Source organism: Homo sapiens, chromosome 2, assembly GCF_000001405.40.
Source record: "Homo sapiens chromosome 2, GRCh38.p14 Primary Assembly".
Classification (NCBI taxonomy): domain Eukaryota; kingdom Metazoa; phylum Chordata; class Mammalia; order Primates; family Hominidae; genus Homo; species Homo sapiens.
The window spans coordinates 211,701,541-211,724,387 of NC_000002.12; the positions used below are offsets into that span (position 1 = coordinate 211,701,541).

The following is a 22,847-nucleotide window of genomic DNA, read 5'->3' on the forward strand; positions in this document are numbered from 1 at the left end:
GGTCAGGAAATCGGGACCATCCTGGCTAACACAGCGAAACCCCATCTCTACTAAAAATACCAAAAAAATTAGCCGGGCGCGGCGGCGGGCGCCTGTAGTCCCAGCTACCGGAGGCTGAGGCAGGAGAATGGCGTGAACCTGGGAGGCGGAGCTTGCAGTGAGCCGAGATCTCGCCACTGCACTCTAGCCTGGGGCAACAGAGCGAGACTCCGTCTCAAAAAAAAAAAAAAAAAAAAAAAAAAAAGAAAGTCACTTATTCTGATTATTTTATACCATGTTGGTAATTGTAACAACTACCTTCCTTTTTAAGGGTTGGGATAACAGAGCAACAATTCTGACCGGATGTTATTTTTAATTGTTTGGTCCAAAGAAGAATGGGAAAAAATTTAAGTTTCTATGTTTTAAATGTCTGAGTAATGTACTTACTACAATTTTCAGCTTTTCTGTTGTCCCGGATTACTATTCTCTGGTTGATTGTGCTGAAGAGTGTTGTCCAGTTAATGGTATGATAATAACACAGGTTGCTGTTGTCAGTAATATAGATGTTTCCTGCGCTGATTTCCTTCAGGGACTGGAACTGTAGAGAGGTGATGCCCTGTTGCTTGAGGATAAGCAAGGACAGGCCACTAAGGAGGGGGAAGTGAGAAAACGGAACCATGAAACGCATTCCGGAGTAAAATAAGGCTGTCACATTTTATTTTAAAAAGAATGTTAATGGTGTATAAATGGAAACTGAATCAATAAATCTGTGTTTAGAATATTGTTTTTACATGCTATATACAGTTTTTAAAGTAATAATTTGACCTCCCAAAGTAAAATTTCCATTGCTTACAGTTATGCATATTGGCAGTGTATCTCTATTTCTGTGTATGTATTTACCACTGAAATATCTGCTCACTATCTTCCCACCCCAAGACTTAACTTTACATTGTTCAATGATGAAATCCTGTATTAACACTAAAGAAGTGTTTATAAAACAATTGTTCATCTACTCAAAATAAGACATTAATTCCTCTTTATGTAATAGATTTAGACATACTTTCAGAGTATGTCTAAATAATTTCAGAAAATGATTATAGGTATTTAGCTTTAATTTATACCTCAGACACCAAAGAACTGTAATAATTGAGGAATGTGTAAGTAAGGTTAGGAGATAGTAAAATGTAAAGAATCAAACTAAACTAAAATTAGAAAAAGAAAGCAAACTCAGATGCCTTGGGTATCTGGGGAAAAGGTCTCTAAAAGTTAAATAACAACTACCCTGTTTAGAATTGCTCACATCATGCACTCCATACTTGCAAAATACTAATATTACTTTGAGTGACAGAAAATTGAAAAATCGAGGAAACTACTTTTATTTTACTATAGTCCACATTTTTGTAATTATTTACTTTTTTACTTATTTACTTTTTTTTACTTATTTACTTTTCCATTCTCTAAAGAATAAACATGCTTCCACATTTCGATCAGCTAATGAATATTATTTTACATTTTGGAGATCAAAGCTTTCCACTTTTATTTATAGTTTTAAATATTCTTTGCTGTTAATATTTATAATTATTTTCCATGGTTGTCAGGGTGTGTGTGTGTGTTTGTGTGTATGTATGCTCAATGATAAAGACTAAGATGTAACTCTTTCTCTCAAATTTTGTCCCCATCATAACTATCTTGAGTTGTTGATTACAATGTTAGCACAATGTCTTGACTGGCTTATAATATTTATTCAACGGATAGTAAAAGTTGTTTATATACAGCACTTTAATAGATTGTATCTTTCAACTATCCTTTCTTATTAAGCTCCTTTCTCCTTTACATTTTTAAAACCTCCTATAACTTTTAAATTTTAATAGTGAAATTCGATGTACTTTTTATAAAACATTATTAGAAAATCAATGATGATATTAAGTTTGGAGATATTTTGAACTTAAATAGACAAATTTAAAAAATTCTTATGCAAATTGACTTTTAATTGTTCATAAATAAGAACATCATACAGATGACATCAGAGAAATCTTTTACTCTTATAACGTGAATTTAAATTATTGATGTTATAATTTTATCAATGTCCTTCTAAACCTGAATTTTTTTTGTCCATTTATTAACCAGCACTACACGTACAGTGGTGGACGAGTTCCTAAAACATCAGCCCTGTGACGTGTAGTTCAATTATAGCACCAGAGACAAGAACAGAACCTCCTGGCACAACAGCATTTGTATCCTATACACCCAAGCTATTAACAAGTCACACAACTCTTATCTTTTAATTGTGATAACATCTGATAAAAATGAAAGTTTCATTGGATTGTTCACATCATGCCCTCCATACTTGCAAAATACTAATATTATTTTGAGTGACAGACAATTGAAAAATCAAAGTATGTATTCTGTAATACCTCACACCATCATCGGAGGTATTTTTATTGAGCTTATCTTTGGAAATAAGGATGGAAGCATGATTTCCCCAGAATCAGTAAATCAATAAGAGTGATAGTTTTGACTTAATGCACACACAATGCTCCTCTTGAAATCTGTGAGCCCTGCAGCTTTAAACATATCCACTTACCTATAGAGTACTCTTCCACCAATGGTCACCAGGTTAGAAAAAACACTGAAGTCAGTCATGTTTGGTGGCCATGACTGTATGTTCAGGAAACCTACAAGTGAAGAGTAGAAAAAATAAATCAGAATATCATTGTCTTAGTATTAGTGCTGATTTTTCTTGAAATATGGTGAAAATGTGTTGAAAGTTGGGAAGTGAGAAAGGGGTAGTGAACATTTCTATTTTTTAAGCACTCTATTACATATGTATTCTTCCAAGATTGAGTGTCCTACCCAATAAAACTGTATATGTTGAAACGTTTCAATGACTCAGTTTGATTTATTCTTATAAATGCAAAAATGTAGTCTAACTAGATAAAGAGAAAAATACAGTTTCAATTTCTCTGAAATCTTTTACGTCTTCATCTGTTCACTTATGACATCAGTGTCACCCTTGTATTCTAAGACATTTATATACATATCTAGCCTTTCTCATTAGATTTTGCATTATTTTACGGTAAGTCCATGTCTGATTCATATCTATGGGTCCCATATTACCTATAAGACAATGTTGAACACATTACATGCTTAATATGTATGTGCTAAATAAATGCTACATGTTATCTATTTTCAATAGTACTTCTTTTGAAGAAGTAAACAGAAAAACATAGTTTCAAAGATCAGTTGACACTTGCAAGAGTCGTAATGTCAAACTTTCAAAGATACTCATTTTGTAATTCCATGGGCTTTCAAAATGTGCATAAAAGCTAAAAAGACACCATCTTTAAAAATAACATGAGTTTTTACAAACTAAAATCTGCTTTGAAAATTAGTTGCTGATTCCAATCTTATGTAACTTTTTTTGTTTTGTTTTGTTTTGTTTTTTGTTGTTATTTTGAAATGGAGTCTCACTCTATTGCCAGGCTGGAGTGCAGCAGCGTGATCTTGGCTCACTGCAATCTCCACCTCCTGGGTTCAAGCAATTCTCCTGCCTCAGCCTCCTGAGCAGCTGGGATTACAGGCACGCGCCACCACACCCAGCTAATTTTTGTATTTTTAGTAGAGACAGGGTTTCTCCATGTTGGCCAGGATTTCCATCTCCTGACCTCATGATCCACCCGCCTCAACCTCCCTAAGTGCTGGGATTACTGGTGTGAGCCACGATGCCCAGTCAATCTTGTGTAATTTTTAAAAAAATTATATTGTTCATAGCGCAACAGTTGCAGTTTAAAAAATTACCTGTTATCTCTCTGACTGTCCGAAAGACGTTCAGTTTCTCTGGGTCTATGGCTTCAATTGCATTGTAAGGGTCCCTAGAAAATCAAGAAGAGATGTAGCCAAATTTAAATTTTACTAAAGGATTGAAAATATGAGAAATGTGACAATATTTTATTCAAATTTAATTTTAATTAGCAGTAGGGGTGTTATCAATGCATGTTTAAATTAATCTGTGCTAGATGTGGAGGAGGAATAATAGGTGTTTTGTGGAAATTTTTGATGTCACAAAATATGAGATTTTCATCAAAGCCTATTCCAGATCTATAAGATTATTCAGCTTCAACTATTCTGATGAAATTCCCAAAGACAGCAAGCTCATGTATGAACCATTTTACATTATTTTGTTTTAAAAGTTTATTCTTGATTTGGAAGAATATATATAGTCTAGAAATACATTATATTATAGTGAGAACAACTGGCATTTCCGCTCCTCAAAGAAGTATACATTGCTATTAGTACCTGGAATTCGTAAGAAGGACAGAAACAAACACAAATAAAATTGACATCTTTTTTTTCTGTAGCTCTACATTTATCTACTTGTGAATTTTCATAATATTTATAACATTGTCCAGAAGTCTCTCTTCATACAGATTACTTAGAACCATCTTGTTCCTATCTAGCTTATTCATATTCACGTTTATAACACAGGAACTATTCGCTTCCAAGTATATGAATTCAAGCAAGACTTCCAGTTTTTTTTTTAAAGAAATCCACAGTAAGTTTTAAAATTTTATTACATTAAAAGACATTTCATACTATCCTAGGTAGAGACCTCATATTAATATATACCATTTACAGAGAGATTAAATTTTATCCATTGGCTACTTCTTCAAGACAGATCAAAACTTCTAAGAACAGTGATCTTAGGCTTTTTTAGAAGTATGTATCTACCTGTAGCAGCCAAACAAATTTTATTCTTACTGTGGACATCTCTTCTTTTACCAGTCTCTGAGAACATTCCTTTTTGGTATGGCGAATAACCATTAGTGATCCACTATATGCAGCCTTAATAGGGCTATCAATCAACGTGTTCCACAATCCCCTGACAAACAGATAGGCATATGGCCTATGTCCTGGGGATTTGTGTCTGAATCCATTGGCATTTATTCATGCCAGCATTCAAGTCTTGAAAAGAGTATCAGTTCCAGCAACCTTGATCTCTGGAACCACCTTGTACTGGCTTCCTGAACTTGGTTCATCAGCATATTCTTCTCTACTGGAAACCATTCCACATCTTAAAAAAACAAAAAAAAAAAAAACAAAAAAAACTTTGCTTGATTAAATTAGTGTTTCAAACTAAGAAGTGCAATCAATACAATGTACTGCTAGTTTAACATGGAGTGCTTTATACTAGGCTCAAATACTGGATATTGCTGAGGTTGGAGAAACACTATAAATGTGTTTCCCTATAATTCACACATAAACTATTGATTAAAATTTTCTCAATGTCATATTAATATCTCACAAAAGCTTAAAGTCTCAATGAAATGTTCTAGCAACTTTCTCTATTTACAAGCAAAGATATATGGAACAAATAACTATGCTTTTGATGAACATGAAGCCAAAAATGAAGTGTATCATGTAGGAAAACTCTTGCCTTCACTTTTTAATGTGCAAAGAATTTTGTATACAGAGGAAATATCAGCTCTGCAGTACAAGAATAAGCTTTCAACATTTGTTCTTTGATGAAAAGCAGAGTATAGGACAGCTCAGGTCGTATAATCAAATATCTTGGCTTTATTGAGAAAAACTCAAAATTCAGGGCAAGCACACAATAATGGGGTCAGTCCGGACCTTTACTGAGAACACTTCCATGTTGCCAGGAATGAAATGAATTCTGGAATGTTAACATGAAGCTCAGTGGACCACAGATATTTTATACAGTTAATTTTAGAGACTCAGGACCCTTGTCAAATAAGTTGACAGAATTCCACTCACTGATTTCAAAGTATGTCTTGGGAGTTGCATCCTATAGCCACTCGAAATACATAGTACTTTAAAACAGTTAACTTCCCTAACTAAATTCGGAGCCATGCAAAAGAACACTACGTCTACCGTGTCATTGTGTTTGGTGATCCAAAATAAAGCTCAGGAAAAAGAGAGAGAAACATATTTTCATTTCCACTGAAATCACTTTATTTTATCATCGAGTTTATTATTTCCCTTCCATTGTCTAGCACCATTGCAGGCTACTATGTAAACCCTTTCTTGCCAGTGTCTCATTGTGACACAACATGAACATGCTTATTTGGTGAGCATTTGGTTACTCTAAGCACATGCACATCAATAATGTAAAACATAACAAAACATGAAAGAAAAGTTTTCCTAACGATAACCCTAAGCACTAAGCTTTCCTGCAGTTCCCATTCTAAATAAGAAAATGAGTGCCCACTGCTATTTCTGGCAATGGTACTCTTGTACTATAAACTAAACATGCCAATTAACTTTCTTGAGCCTAATTATATATTAAAATTTTAATTGATGAATTGCCAGTAAATATATTTTGTGGAGAAACTTGTTTTTAAAAAGCGTAACAACCTCATTAAATTATTATTTTTGCATTTTATCAGTTAAAAACATCTCAGCTATTTTAATCAAACCATATGACCTTATCAAAAGCTGGTTAGTAAAATATTATGGGTAATGGAAATTGAGGTAAAACATTTCTTTAATTCACTGTAAGTTTTCTGCTTATAATACTCTGTATTGTTCACCTTTAAAATATCTCTATCTTTATACACACACACACATACACACACAAACACACATTACATTCATGACCACACTTGTATCTATACATATATAACATGTCTAATTCTACTGAATTAATTCTATAGCCATACTTTCCTAAGATGAAACAGAAAGGCTTCAGAATATATGTTTCATGCTGGCATGACAGTGAGAATAAAGAATACATCATAATTCATTTATATGTTTGTCCTGGAAAATACCTTATAAATTATACTTGAGACCCAATTATAATTATTATTTTAAATATTCCAGGTTTAAGCGCTATGATTAAAGACAAATAATCCCCTGAACTAAGAAGCATGACTCATTGTAAGGAAAATTTTGCCTTTATTTGGTTTCCAAAAGAGTCTATATAAGACTATAATCAAGTCTATAAAATTAATATTTGTTGCACAACATGCTGTGCTATAAACTAGACATAGGCACTGTGATTTTTCCTTTCCACTGCCTTCTTCTCCTCCTGTTTTGTTTTTTATTGATTTTCATTTCTCTCTGTTTCCATCCTTCTCTCTCTCTCTCTCTCTCTCTCTCTCTCTCACTATCTTTCCCTCCTTCCCTGCACTTCCAACCTTCTATTTTATACCATTTGTTAAGGTTTTACAATATGCCAGGCACTGGGCTGAGCAATTCAAAACAACTTTTGTTTTTAATCACCACAATAATCATAGGAAATAGGTATTTATTGTTAATCCATTTCTCAAGTTTTTTTATTGGAGGAAACCTAGTGTTTGACGTGAGAGAAAGCCATGCAACTCAACACAAACCCTCCGTGGTGGAGCTGCAAATCACACTCCAGTCTACTCTGGATCAAATTATCCAAGAAGAAATCCTAACTCTCATTTTCTAAGTTTATGTTTAAGACAAACTTGGTTTACCTTTCTACTTCTAATCCATGTAAGCTGATTTTCCATAAGTAATTTTTCACCTGGATGAATGAGCAATATTTTTCTCCTTAGAAGTCTGGGTTAGTCTAAAGTGGTATTCTTCCCATAAACTTGTAAATGCATGGTCCTTACTGCCTGATGCATTTTTATTCATTGGACTACCTGTTTCCATTTTTTATTGCATTTATTTATTAAACTTTCCTCCACTCTGGGCCGGAGGTGACTATATATATGCGTGTGTGTGTATATATATATATATACACATATATATATATATATATATACATACATATATATATACATATATATATATGAGAGAGAGAGAGAGAGAGTAATTTTATAACTAGTAGAAATCTAGAGTTTTAATAATTATGTTCTATGATGAACCAAGACTAAAATAACTATTCTGAACCTCACTAGATAGAACATTTTTGAAACCTTTCTACCCATGTTTTATCTGTAAGAATTTTAGCCTTGGCAGGTCACTTTTGGTGGTTTGCAATCTTTCTACTATCACAAAATTCTTGCAGTGTTTCTCAATGGGGGCAGCACCACCCCACGAACAGGAAGTTGGCACATCTGGAGAGCTGTTTCAGTTGTAACAGAGACTGGGTGATCCTATAGTTTACAGCAGTTATCACAAGGTTGTTAACTGTCTCTTAAATCAAAGGATTGAGTCATGTTTTATACAACCTTAAAATGTCCTACTAGACATTTAGGACCTCATATGTGCAAACTTCATGCTTGGTCATACTTTGGCCAGGTATAATTCCCTAGTTGTGTTGCTCCAATTTCACTTGATCTTAGCCAAAAAGTCGAGAAGCAATTTACTCCAATTTCAATGAAAGTCATTTCCCTCTTTCTTTTGTCATATAACAATGTGTCTGGCTAGTGGTTTTCTATTCCAGTGGTCAGCTGTTCCTCTGCTTTTTATTTCCTGGTACTTCTTACACAAAAATGCCTTCTAATCTCATTTTTCATAAATCCAAACTTTCGTATAATTGGAAACTTGGCATTCCCCTAACAATATTTTATTGTACCTTACTTTTTCGTATTTCTTTTAAAATTACAACTAGAGAATTATAATAATTAAAACAATATATATTTAGGTTACATTATCTATAAATTTTATTTCAGAATTGAAAAGTGGCAATTTTTTAATATATAAAAGTGGAATGTTGTGCCTGATAAGGATAAAAACCACTTGTCTAATGCAATTCATGTGAATATGATTTCAAATCATTCCCCACAGTGAAAGGCTTGAGGCTAATTCATTTATTATTTCTAGGTGAAAGCACGCAATGTGAGTCAAGTGGCTCTATCTTCTTATTTCTCAGAAGACATTATTAGCATAATATAATCTTACATTCATGTGGTATTTGGTTTTAAATATAGTCAAATTGTGGGTATATTGCCTTACTAAATGTCATATATGCATTAAATTATGAAGAAGCACCTAAATATTGTCCCAGGTCTCCTATGCAATGGGGCAAGGAGGGTAAGACAGCAATGTAAATGGACTCAGAAGGCCAGTGGGGACTATGGTAAAGTTGATTAAGGGTGTCCCATCTCAAAATGACTAGTGTTACTGATTTGCTTTGGCTATGTCCTCATCAAAATATCATATTGAATTGTAGCTCCTACAATTCCCACGTGTTGTGGGAGGGACCCAGTGGGAGGAAACTGAATCATGGGAGTGGGTCTTTCCCACGCTGTTCTCATGATAGTGAATAATTCTCGTGAGATCTGATGGTTTTATACAGGGGAGTTTCCCTACACAAACTGTCTCTTGCCTGCCACCATGTAAGACATGCTTTTCTCCTCCTTGGCCTTCCATCATGATTGTGAGGCCTCCCCAGCCATGTGGGACTGTGAGTCCACCGAACCTCTTTTTTCTTTGTAAATTACCCAGTCTCGGGTGTGTCTTTATTAACAGCATGATAACTGACTAATATGGCTACCCAGTTCCAACAAATTGTTGCCATGTAGGAATATGGGCCGACAATGACCAAGTCTATACATTTTAAAAGGCAAGTAAAAAAAAAAAAACATTTCTTAAGACAGATACAACAATTATGGGGTGGCAGCTACATACATACTATTATACTATCTAACATGGGGCTGTATTAAAAGCTACCTATTAAAATAAACAGATATTTAGCAATAATACATATAATAATTGATTTGAATGAAAAGAAACACTTTGTTCTATTGTTCTTGCCATTCCTATTTGGACATATTTATTCATAATATGTCAAATTAGTTTGCTTTTAGAAATGATCTGATACATGTTCAGAGTAAGATTTTGAATTAAAATATATGAGAGATATTCTTTATCTGTAGCCTGCAGCACTAACATTTAGGGATTAAGTAGTAATATAGACAAATAGATAACATACAATGTTAAAATACTGACATTCAAAGAATACAAACTTGTTTGTTTTCCAGTTAAAACGAGTAGGGGGTCCTGTAATGAAGGAGCCCAGATAAATCACGTTGCAATTTGTATTACCAAAATGAAATTCATTTAGCAGCATCTCTTACAGTGGTGCTAACTTCCCAACTTAAGGGAAACAAGACGAAAATAACACATCAGGACAAAGAATTTCTGGAAGAAGCTCAGGGGAATTTCAACATACTGATTAGTTTTATGTGAGACTTTTTAAAGGATATTAATTCATGTTTTCTCAAGCTAATCCATTAGAAGTTTGAATGAATTTTCCCACCTCAACCAATGATACTTTTTTCCCTAAACATATCTAAAAATAAGTCAAGCTTGCTGAAAACTGTGGATTTGAGGAGGATGTCCTAAAATATAATTTAGTTTAAATACAAATTTATATTTTTGACCTTAGTCACCAAACTAAAGTTTGAGCACATTCCAAAACTAGTATACTGTCATTGCTGGTGAAATCAGGCCCCTGCTTTTGTTGGTGAGGAGCATTAATGAAAGGTGAAACTCTTCAGCTTCCAGAGGAATCAAATAAACAAAACTAAAGAATCTCTTCAGTTTTGTCTACACTTTGTAAAATAACTTGCACAAAAATTTAATACTGACCCATGAATACCAGTGACTAGAAAGATCAAATTCCCATTGATCTTGGTACAGTTTATGAATTTGTCAATGTTACTGGAATCCACAGTCTGAGCTGACATCAATGATCCTGTGCCAATGCCATCACAAGCTGTAGAAACAAGACTCAGAGTTAGGGGATTGAGAAACTTATTTTTGGCCAATAAATCATTGCATCTTCATTATAAAATAGCAGAGTATTTTTAATTGTAACATATAAAATATATTACAAATTTTGTTTTCTAAAAAGTAAAATAATTATTCATTCGTTCAACATTCACTACTGGTTCTGCTTTAAAAACTTGTCCCTGCATTAAAATCGAATGACGATGACTCATCAGAGAAATTACATTTTATATCAAGACCCAGTATACACACATAACACATACATAAGTCTTACAGAAATTTTATAAATCAATACTCCTCCTAACAACATAAAATTATCTATTTTCTACTTTCTTTGAAAATATCATTTTTAATGATTTTGAAATGCTGGTAACTTTAGCAAAATGATTTCATGGCCTACATACTAATGGTCTACAACCTGCAATTTTAAAAACAGTGGTCTAATGGAGAATATATGCAAATAAAGAGTTCTAATGATGTGAATTATAACCAAAATCAAGGGCCATTCAAATATTTATGCTTAAATTGAACATGCTTTCTGAAGCTTCTAATTTAAACAAACAAACAAAACAATTTTTGTGTGTGGGTGGGGGGGGATGTATAGAGAAAGAGAGAGGGGATAAGGAAGAAACAGAGAGGGAGAGAGAGAAAACATCATCTAAAAGTAAGTGTGGAGTTTGTCCTTTTCTAGGGCACTCCCTGATACTTTGAAAAGTTTAATAACATTCAGGAGATTTAGACTTTATTTTCATCTTGCTTAATTTAGGTTTCATTCTGGTGAGGAATTAGACTACCCACAGCTGGAAGAGATTCCTTCCTCCGCTAAAATTCTATGGCATGAATTATCTGATATATTTATTTTAAACTTATGGTAAAGTTTCTTGTCATTTCATAGATCTCATCTTTCAAAATACATTTTCAAGATCTGGAAAGTAAATTTCATGCCCCTCTGGATCTCTTTTTATGCTTAGCAGATAATTTTGTATATAGTGGCAAGCAACTAATATGTGTTGTGATGCCAACATAACCGTGTGAACTCTTGTTTTTTACAAAGCTTTTAAGATTTGCTATTGACAGAGTAACAGGCAACTTTATTTCTGAGTTCCTATCAATGTTACATGTGCGTTTTTTTCTGGGCCATTTTAGTAGATAAAATTCAAACTCAATAATATACAGTGCTATAAAAGTTCATATTTTGAGTAACTGTTCAAAATTATGGAAAGCGTGTGGGTAGGTTTGGTTGTGAGAGTGGGTTTATATTAAAAAGTTGGTCTACTTAAAAGTGAATTAAAAACCTTGTTATATAGGCCCAGTTCTAACTAAATAATCTGAGCTACCACTCACCTTTTGGGCAAATGTCAGTGCAAGGTTTACACATTTTAATCCCATTTTCTTCTACTTCCATCTTGGAACTAGGGCAGGCACGCACACAAGAACTGGAATCTACCACAAAGTTATCTGATTAAAAAAAAAAAAAAGGTAAAATAAGCATTAATGTTAACATTCAGCAAACAAGCTCAAAACAAGATATTTTAGGGTTTAAAAATGATTAGCATCATTGATAGTGTTTATGTATCTTACCCTTAAACAACTCTTTGTTTAAATATCTCAACCTGAAATTGTATTTCCAGTCAAATGCAATGTGTGTTAACAACAACTAGTACTTGCTTGGTTACTGCTCCACATATTGAATTGCCCCCAAGATAGAGTAGATTTCTTTTATATACTTAGGAAACTACGTGACATTTAGCTTGTGTGTGTCAATAGTTCCACTTCATTTCATGACATGACGCAAGTTTGAAGTCCAAAAATACTTCAAGTCCATGAAGCACAAATGAAGCTTAAGTTGAACTGCCTTGGATCAGAGTACATTTCACATCCAGGAGAAAATGCTCAAAATGTGTTCTATTTTTCAGTGGAGTGCCACAAAACCTTTCTCATATTTTTATACGAAGAAACGAAATAAAATTGGAAAGGGTAGTACTTTGGAAAAGGTATATCAAATAGACAAGGAGCAGTTTGTTACCCAATACTTGGATTAAATGTCTAGCAGTCCAGTGACATGGGATATGCCAGAACATCCCCTCCAAAATAAAGGACAAATTATTGCACCTAAAGGCTCTCACAATAAATAGGAAACACAATACCTGCTAGGCCACTCTGGTTTTAAAAGTAGCATCCTTCCATGCCTGGGAATATTGTTCTGGCACAATATGCAATGTTGTGGAATGCTTACAGCCTTGAGGGGTGCCCAAAGCAGAAACGGCATATGATGTATATCTAGGCTGTGATGCAAGCAATATTGCTACTTGGGCCATAAAACCCAAGAGGCTCTATGATATTGGAAGCATCTATAGTGGGAAAATATGCCATGTAGATTTATGGCAAGTTTCATCAGAAAATCACAACAGAGACTTCTAGGTTTTTAGAGCTAAGCTATGCCACCTGTAGCACAGGATTGCACACCATTTAATAAACAGCTTTTGACATGCTTCTGGGTCCTGGTAGAGATGGATCTTGGGTCAGACCTTATAGCCAGAATTGCCTATCATGAACAGGGTTTTGCTATAATGTCACAATGTCATCATGTTGGGCAGGTCCAAGAGCATTCCATTGTAAAATTAAAGTAGGACATGTGTAGGGGCAGAAGCACAAGTAAACTGCATAAGCAAATGGTTAAGAGGCCCCCATGCCATCCACCACTGGGCTGGCCCCTCTCAGTCATCTCATACCTATGGCTGTGTGGGGGCTAAGAGAAGGCACTTAGGAAAAGCTAACAGAGTAAGACACAAAATAGACTAGGTATGTGGTACTAGCTGAAAATGGATGGCAGCTTCTCTGTCTGCCATCTCACCTATGACTAGACTTGAAGCACAGAGACAAGAGAAAATCTTACCAACGGGTATAATTCTAGGTAGCGAAATTGATTACTCATTTTGTATGAAAAGAGAAGTTGCTTGACCTTAGAATATATATGAAGTAATGAGCTTGTCCTGAGAGAAGAAATACTGGAAAATTTGAGAAGAAAGGGAATCTGGTGCAAAGAATCCATGGGAGTGGGTACAAAGTATGGAAAAATTTGCATTCCAAGTCAATATCCACATGAAAGCATCCACCACAACAAAGAGTCACTTTGTTGAGATGATATCAAAGTCCAATCTTGCTTTCTTCCCTTCCCCAAAAAGTGCTGATTTTGAGACTACTCCTTAATAACCTAATCTCTATCTCAGGGGAACCCAACCTGCAACAGGTGCATACATGATATTAAGTAGCCATTCTTTCTTCAAGGTCTTGTGATATGGTTTGGATCTGTGTCCCCACCCAAATCTCATGTCGAATTATAATCCTCAGTATTGGGGGTGTGACCTGGAGGGAGGTGAATGAATCATGGGGGTGGCTTCTCATGGTTTAACACCATCCCTCTTGGTGTTGTCGTTGCAAGAGTGAGTTAGCATGAGATCTGGTTGTTTACAAGTGTGTCACACCTCCTGCCTCTCTCTTCCTCCTGCTCTGGCCATGGAAGACATAATTGCTTCTCTTCACCTTCACTGTGATTGAAAGTTTCCTGAGCCCTCTCCAGAACCCCTCATGCTTCCTGTACAGCCTACAGAACCATGAGCCAACTGTACCTCTTTTGTTTATCAATTACCCAGTCTCAGGTATTTCTTTATAGCAGTGTAAGAACCAACTAATACATCTTGGGAAATGCGTTACAATGAAACCCTTTCACATTTCTGCCGAATGGAATAAACAAATATTATAATTAGTCTTATATCAGTTAGATTCAAGTTTTGCACCCAAACGAGTTTCAGAAAATGCATGTTTGGAGTTTTTAAATTTCAGAATTCTGGATTAGGAACTGTAGACCTGCATTTAGAAGCTGAATGTCCGACCGGGCACAGTGGCTCACGCCTGTAATCCCAGCACTTTGGGAGGCCGAGGCGGGTGGATCACCTGAGGTAGGGAGTTCAAGACCAGCCTGACCAACATGGAGAAACCCTGTCTCTACTAAAAATACAAAATTAGCCAGGCATGGTGGCGCATGCCTGTAATCCCAGCTACTAGGGAGACTGAGGCAGGAGAATTGCTTGAACCCGGGAGGTGGAGGTTGTAGTGAGCCGAGATTGTGCCATTGCACTCCAGCCTGGGCAACAACAGTGAAACTCTGTCTCAAAAAAAAAAAAAAAAAAAAAAAAAAAAAAAAGGCCGGGCGCAGTGGCTCACGCCTGTAATCCCAGCACTTTGGGAGGCCAAGGTGGGCGGATCACGAGGTCAGGAGATCGAGACCATCCCGGCTAACACGGTGAAACCCCGTCTCTACTAAAAATACAAAAAATTAGCCGGGCCTGGTGGCGGGCGCCTGTAGTCCCAGCTACTCGGGAGGCTGAGGCAGGAGAATGGCGTGAACCCGGGAGGCGGAGCTTGCAGTGAGCCGAGATTGCGCCACTGCATTCCGGCCTGGGCGACAGAGCGAGACTCCGTCTCAAAAAACAACAACAACAACAACAACAAAACAAAACAAAAAAAAACAAAAAAAAAAGAAGAAGCTTAATGTCCTTGTTTTCCCAAGAAAGCTTCAATTTGGCAAACCAAGCCATGTAAGCCAGGCCCATCAGAGATTTAAATTTTTTCATAGACAAATACTGAAGTGCTTTAAATTAGCCTGTAGTTTGAGATACACAAACTAATCTAAGAAAGGAAGACTGTAAGTTACCACATTTAAAGTAAACAAGTCAGGTAATTTCACACAATAGGTCTTCATGTTTAGCCACTTACTACAGTTTGGAGTTGACAGCTTTCAGGTGAATCACTATAAGGGCTATAGTAAAGAAAAGGGGAATTCTCTAATTCAAATTTTCCTGGTACTTCTGCTCTCACCCAACCCTCGGGCTTCAACCTAAGGACTTGAATAAAAGGGAAAGCACCAAAAAAACTCCAAGAAAGCATAGTTTTGACTGTCTTTGGGAAAGGCATCCTAATTTGAAGGTAGTAGATTAGGTAGTAGTATAATGCGCTTCTAAGAAAAGGGAAAATATCATTTAGCCCCATCCTGCAATACTGCCAAGCCCTCAGTTTTGTAAGGATGGTACATGGTGACATATAGGGTGACTTTAGATAAGAGGTTATTAGATGAAAAGGACTGGTGTGAATATTGAAATATTTAAGATGCAAAATCTTTGCTGTCTTGGAGTTAGTGTGTCTGTGACTTTAAAATGCTAATTAAGAGACATATTAAACACACATATATATACATAAAGAAGTCAAAGTACAATTTTTACTTTAATGGATATGAACGTGTTTCATAACAATGACTAGAATTGTGTTTTCAAAGCCTTTTTAAATAATCTACCCCTCTCGGCCTGGTGCGGTGGCTCACGCCTGTAATCCCAGCACTTTGGGAGGCCGAGGGAGGTGGATTAACTGAGGTCAGGAGTTCAAGACAGCCTGGCCAACATGGTGAAACCCAGGCTCCACTAAAAATACAAAAATTAGCTGGGCGTGGTGGATGTGCCTGTAATCCCAGCGACTCAGGAGCTGAGGCAGGGGAATCGCTTGAACCCGGGAGGCGGAGGTTGCAGTGAGCCAAGATTGCGCCATTGCTCTCCAGCCTGGGTGACAGAACCAGACTCTGTCTCCAAAAAAATAAAAAATCTACCCCCCTCATCCTTATATCCTATCTCTTCGATTGTTATAATGGCTCTGGAAAGAAAGGAGGGAAGATATATATATTTTTTGAGACAGAGTTTTGCTCTTTTTGCCCAGGCTGGAGTGCAATTGCATGATCCCGACTCACTGCAACCTCTGCCTCCTGGGTATAAGCATTCTCCTATCTATCTCAGCTTCCCAAATAGCTGGGATTACAGGTGTGTGCCACCACGACCGGATAATTTTTGTATTTTTAGTACAGATGGGGTTTCACTATGTTGGCCAGGCTGGTCTCAAACTCCTGACCTCACGTGATCTGTCCACCTCAGCCTTCCAAAGTGTTGGGATTACAGGCACGAGCCACCGTGCCTGGCCAGAAGATATAATTTTTATAACCCACATCTTAAAGAAGAAAAAATAGAGAACAAAAGGTGTTATTTAAAAATCACATGACTAATAAGGGAACGAAGCCACGATCCATAGCCACTCTAATCCCATGTCCCTTACACACATTGAGTATCCCTTATCCAAAATGCTTGGGACCAGATGTGTTTCAGATTTCAGAATTTTTTGGATTTTGTAATATTTGCATAAACATAATGAAATACCTTGGGGATGAAACCCTAGTCTAAAAACAATATTCAGTTTTTATGATTCCATATATCTTATACACATGACCTGAGGTAATTTTATATAATATTTTAAGTAATGTTTGGTGTGAAACACAGTTTGTGTACACTGAACCATCAGAAACAAAGGCATCACTATCTCAGCCATCAACATAGACAATCTGTGGTTGTTTGGCATCACCATCATTCATAACACTAAATTTATATACTACTGATGAGCAATCATATTCTTACACTTATTCACACATAAATATATAAAACTAAAAAAAAAAAACATGGTATACCACTAACACAGTGAAAAGATAATGTGTTTGGAATAACTAGGTATCAGAGTAGAATGACCAGAATACCTCCATCAGCTGTGAAACAACAACAACAACAAATAATGCAGGCTTTTAGTGTCCATCTATGATGCTGTGTTTTGATTAAAAGGTTACGATACACTGTTTTATTTTCTTAGGTAAAAAGAAACATCAGAAACAGCTGAGAAACCAGGGAATAGGTCCTACAGGGATAAGGGGGCTTTCTGCTGGATGGCTTTTTAAAATGTTTCCTCCAGGGTCATTTGCCCATTAACAGTGAATTTTGTCTTAGAAGTCTCTTTTTGATTTTATAAACTCCCATGACTTCTTGTTCTGTTATGAATGCACCATGCTCTAGTCCTTCAGTGAGCCCATAACACATTTTCATCATGTCTTCTGTAGATAACTTTTTGTGCAATGTTAAAAACATTTTCATTGTCACTATTACCACGATTGCTTTGATTCAGAGCGACTTCTGCAATTTCACCATCAGTCAATGAAGGAACAACTCGTTATCAATGTTAAAAACTTCTGTGATATCCATTTCTTCCAGTTTACTGATGGACTCTGAAGGATTATTTTTTTCTCACCTGACATAGGGAATCTTTCCAAGTAACCACCTTTTTCCCGAACACAGTCATAGGTCAGAGGTTGTACCTGGCATGCAAAACTGTGTCTTTAGTACTGTGTTCCAAGCATTGACAACAGCATATACAGCATCCTTCATGCTAAGCTTCTTTTGAAAACCTTCCCACACCCAGGTCTTTGTTCACTGCTGCTAGCATGCTGTTCAAGAAAGTGTTTTTGGCCAGGTGCGGTGGGTCACGTCTGTAATCCCAGCACTTTGGGAGGCCGAGGCGGGCTAATCACAAGGTCAGGAGATCGAGACCATCCTGGCTAACACAGTGAAACCCCGTCTCTACTAAAAATCCAAAAAATTAGCCAAGCATGGTGGCACGTGCCTGTAGTCCCAGCTACTCGGGAGGCTAAGGCAGGAGAATCGCTTGAACCCGGGATGCAGAGGTTGCAGTGAGCCGAGATCATACTACTGCATTCCAGCCTGGGTGACAGAGCGAGATTCTGTCTCAAAACAAAGAAAAGAAAAAAAAAAAAAAAAAGGAAAGTGTTTTTGTATTTACTTTTCATTGCTCTAAGGATAGTCTGTTTACATGGCTGAATTAATGAAGTCACATTTAAGGGAAAGTACACGGCATAAACATTGTTTTTGATGAGAATTTCAGCTGCAGGATGAGTAGAACGGTTGTCAAGGAAAAACAAAATCTTGCATTCAACATCCAGTCCAGCTTCCCAGCGATGAGCAGGAGGTGCTAGTATAAAATGTTTGGGTGAAGCCAATAAGAAAAGTTGTTCCCGGTAACCGATGCATTTTTAGTAGCATAATAATTGGTAAGAAATTCACTCCTTGGAAACTGAGGATGCAAGCTTTTGCCTATCACAGCAAGTTTACATTTATGTGTGCCTGCTGTATTAGCACATTCCAGCCCAGTCATTCTGTCTTTGGTATCCTTCATTCCTGCAGGGGCTGTCTAATGAACTGTGGTCAATGCCTTTGTGGAGGAGCAATGTTAAAACAGTGATGTTTCATCAGCATCACAGAAATGTCCTGGTGTCAGATTTTTATCAGTGATGACCTTGGCAAACTCAATGATGAATTTCTCCACTGCTTTGTGATCAGCAGATATTTTGTCACCGGGAATCTCTAAAGATTTAACGCCATGTCTTTTCTTAAATTTTTGTGTCCAGCCTGTTGAATATTTACAGTTCTCTTCAACTTTCAGTTCACCGTGCTGGATCTTTGCCTGTTTGATGATCAGCATACCATTATGTGGCTTATGTTCATCTACATGCTGAAAAATCCACTCTTTCGGTACACAAGCAAGATCTTTATCATTAGCTTTATTCAGTGCTGTTCTATTTTTCATTAACTTCTGTTATTCATTTTCAGCATAGAACAGTTTATCCTTCTGTTTCTTCAGGTCACACAAAGTGTTCATACCAACACTGTACTCTTCTCTTCTCTATGATGTTGCATACTTACACCGTTCTCCCATTTCTCCAAAAGCTTGACTTTCTAAGCTACACATAAACATAAATGTTTCCTCTTATTTTTACCACCCTTACCTGGAGGGATAGCTGCAGGCCTTTTTGACATTTTCAACAATATCTCAACACCACAAAATGGCACTTTGGAAAACCTGCCATTGGTGTGTCTGGCCTGCACACGTGCCATTTTATTACCTGTGGGTGTGCTTCCCTTTGGAAATCTGGGTATGCAAGGAAAAGATGTACCACAGTCGAAAGGGGCTGAGAGTGTGTGTATGTGTGTGGTTTCTTTCCCTCTTGGGAACACTAAACAAACTGTGTTGTGTGCATTTTGACTGTGACCTATCACACGAAGTCAGGTGTGAAATTTTTCATTTGTGACAACATGTCAGCACTCTAAAAGTTTCAAATATTGGAGCATTTCAGATTTTGGATTTTTGGATTGTGGATGCTCAGCCTGTACTTCCTACTGTATCACATACACAAAGTGAAGTAAGTCACATTATATGTATAGCACAGACTATAAATAATTCTTTTAAATGAGTATATGGGCATATATAGTGATTTTTTTCAGCCTTTCCAATAGGAAATGTCCCATTGGTTACTCAAAGCAAAAAAAAAAAAAAAAAAAAAATAGAGTCAAGTAAATATCAATATATTATCCTGAATACCTGATGAAAGTTAAGTCGGTCCTTTTGAATCCTCAGGATGTTATCAATTTGTTTAAGATCCTTTAACATACCCTTTATATATATACATGTTTTATTTAAGGTTAATTTGCTATTAAACATATATATATATATATATATATATACATGTTTTGTTTAAGGTTAACTTGATATTAAAAATATAATGCTAAGTATTCTAGTTATAAATAAGGAATCAGAAATAATTTTAGGTAAAAATCCATTGTTATTAGAAGCAGATCCTATTCATTACACAGCTTGCTGCCACTTAACTAATTACTTTTTTGGAGAAACAGTATGATAGGCAAAAATACTGTGGTATAGTAAAAACAGAAAGAGGTTTTTGTTTGTTTGTCTGTTTTTGAGATGGAGTCTCTCTCTGTCACCCAGGCTGGAGTACAGTGGCACCGTCTCGGCTCACTGCAACCTCCACCTCCCAGGTTCAAACCATCCTCCTGTCTCAGCCTCCAGAATAGCTGGGGCTACAGGCGCCCGCCACCACGCCTGGCTAATTTTTGTATTTTCTGTAGAGACGGGGTTTCACCATATTGGTCAGGCTGGTCTCGAACTCCTGACCTCAGGTGCCACCCACCTCGGCCTCCCAAAGTGCTGGCATTACAGGTGTGAGCCAGTGCGCCCAGCCACAGTAGGAGTTTTATAACCTCAAACATGTCATCCTTTTGCTATGAAACTTTACACAAATCACTTTAAAGTTTTGGTTTAGTTTCTTTATTTATAAAATGGGGGCAATAGTATCTATACCCAAAGTACTTATAATATTCTTACAAGTTTCACATTAAAATAAACTTACATAAAATTCTTTTGATTTCAAATAATGACCTAATTAATTTGGTTATTCTTATTCTGTTACTTACGTGGACATTTCTTGACACAGAATGCTCCATATGTGTACTTTGCATTGAAATTGTGCTCCAGTTGAAAGGTGGTTGGATTGTAGACAAAGGTTTGGGGACACTGAGTAACACATGCTCCACTGTCATTGAAATTCATGCAGGCCTGCAACACAGCAAATATTACTTTCATTTACAAATAAACTCATAATACTTGTTAATGAAACGCTGCCAAAACAGGAGAAGTTTTTTTCTATAATAATTCCACAAATATTACAAAATTTGATAATTTAAGAGTCATGTGTGTTTCCAAAATTTCATAAAACTCTTTTTTCCAGTATCAGTAAATAGGAAAATTTATGGCTACTGATGCTCAAAGTGCTTAGCCTGTATCCAGTAATTTCTAAACTGAGAATTGGTTTAAAGTTAGCTAATAGTGAAAAATTATTTGAGTTCACACTTATTCAAAGCATTTATATTTAGTCTTAAAGTATAGCACTGACAACCAAATCCCTAATTCTACAGGCTAGATGTCCACTTGAGCTGGTATTTTAAAGAGTTCCATATCCCAAATGACATGTAAAGTACAATTATCACCACTGTCCTGTAAGAAAACATTGTGATGGTGATTTATATCGGACTTAAAGAAAAGGCTCTGGCTGGTGACTAGCCAAATACAAATACAGTGCATGTAATGCCAAAATGTAAAGAGGTAATTAGCTACAGTTGGCCTGTAATTAAATAATATGATGTCATTTCTAGTATGGCTTTTTTCCTAATGCCACTCCATTTAGTAAAAGCTACCATGTAGAAGACAGTTCATTTCTGCTGACTCGTATATTTATATTCATAACTCAATTTATTAATATTTTCAAATTCATTTGGGAAGAATTAAAAACCATTTTATTACCTGAGAGGTAGGTACTTGATATAAAAACAGAATATATGTGTAAGTACATATAAACATGTGATTAACAAAAATGTGGATGAGCTAATTCTTTCAATTAAGAAATTAAGCCATTTTAGGAATGATTTGGGCCTTGGAAAGCAAGCTAATACGAACTCAAGCTATGATTTACATTTAATCATAAATAGTACATATGGTTATTAATAAGCATTAATTTATTCTGTTTCCTCAAAACATTGCTTCATCAATTGTTGTTTTAGCAAGCACTTTATCATAAACATGACAATTCCCTGATGATGGTCTACTAGATGCATAATCAGAACAAGACTTACTGATGACACATTATTCACTAAGATGACACATTCTAGGAAGAATCTATTAAGAACCAATCTAGAAAACTCAGTAAGTTTTAATTTATGGTTATAAAATTTCATGTGTCCTTATAATTGCTTTACTAACATATTTTATGCAATGCTGTACACAGATTGCTCAGGAACAAAGGAACATAAGTCAGAGGAATAAAACAAATTTAGCTTTGCGACAGCATACAAAACAATGTAACTTACACCAAGGCCTTAGTCTGGCATTCTTGAACATTCTGTACCAAAAGCCAAAGTGGAATCATTAGACCGTTCCATAAAAGTAATGAAATGATAATTTGAAGCTCACTCAGCACTGTGCTTATCATGATAATGGAACCATGACAAAAACTGCATGCAAAACTTCTAAGAGTTTTTGCTATTGCTGTTTATTGTTGTTATTGTTTTGGAATTGTTAATGAAACACCTGCAGTGTTCAATGTCTTCAGAATCAAGCTTCCATCCTACGTCTGATGAAAGACAGAGGAAGGTTCTCAGTTCAAGACCTACTGAGTATCTTCTTTAAATTTTTAACATTTTTATTTCCTTTTCTTCTTCCTCCCTATCCATTTCTGCAATACATATTTTTGTTTCACTATAGAATGAGTATAGAAGATTATATTCCTTATGATATTAAGAAAACTAAGAAATTACTGTCTATATCATAAGAGCTTTAATATATGGTTTGCTCATTGCTGGAATTAAGTGTCTTTCTTTTTTTTTTTTTAAAAAAAGCTCAATTCTACTACATAT

At 35.9% G+C, this 22,847-nt stretch overlaps 1 protein-coding gene across 11 annotated transcripts in view; it reads right to left on the reverse strand.

Annotated features, from left to right (window-relative positions):
- The window catches only part of ERBB4 (erb-b2 receptor tyrosine kinase 4), a 1,163,086-nt gene that overhangs the window by 325,824 nt on the left and 814,415 nt on the right, over positions 1-22,847 (reverse strand). For all 11 annotated transcript variants that reach the window (NM_001042599.2, NM_005235.3, NM_001439006.1 and 8 more), the window contains 6 exons: positions 20,853-20,994; positions 11,995-12,108; positions 10,510-10,636; positions 3,778-3,851; positions 2,564-2,654; positions 427-626 (listed from right to left, as the gene is read on the reverse strand). In NM_001042599.2, coding sequence (NP_001036064.1) covers positions 427-626; positions 2,564-2,654; positions 3,778-3,851; positions 10,510-10,636; positions 11,995-12,108; positions 20,853-20,994 — 748 coding nt within the window. The remainder of the gene's footprint in view (positions 1-426; positions 627-2,563; positions 2,655-3,777; positions 3,852-10,509; positions 10,637-11,994; positions 12,109-20,852; positions 20,995-22,847) is intronic.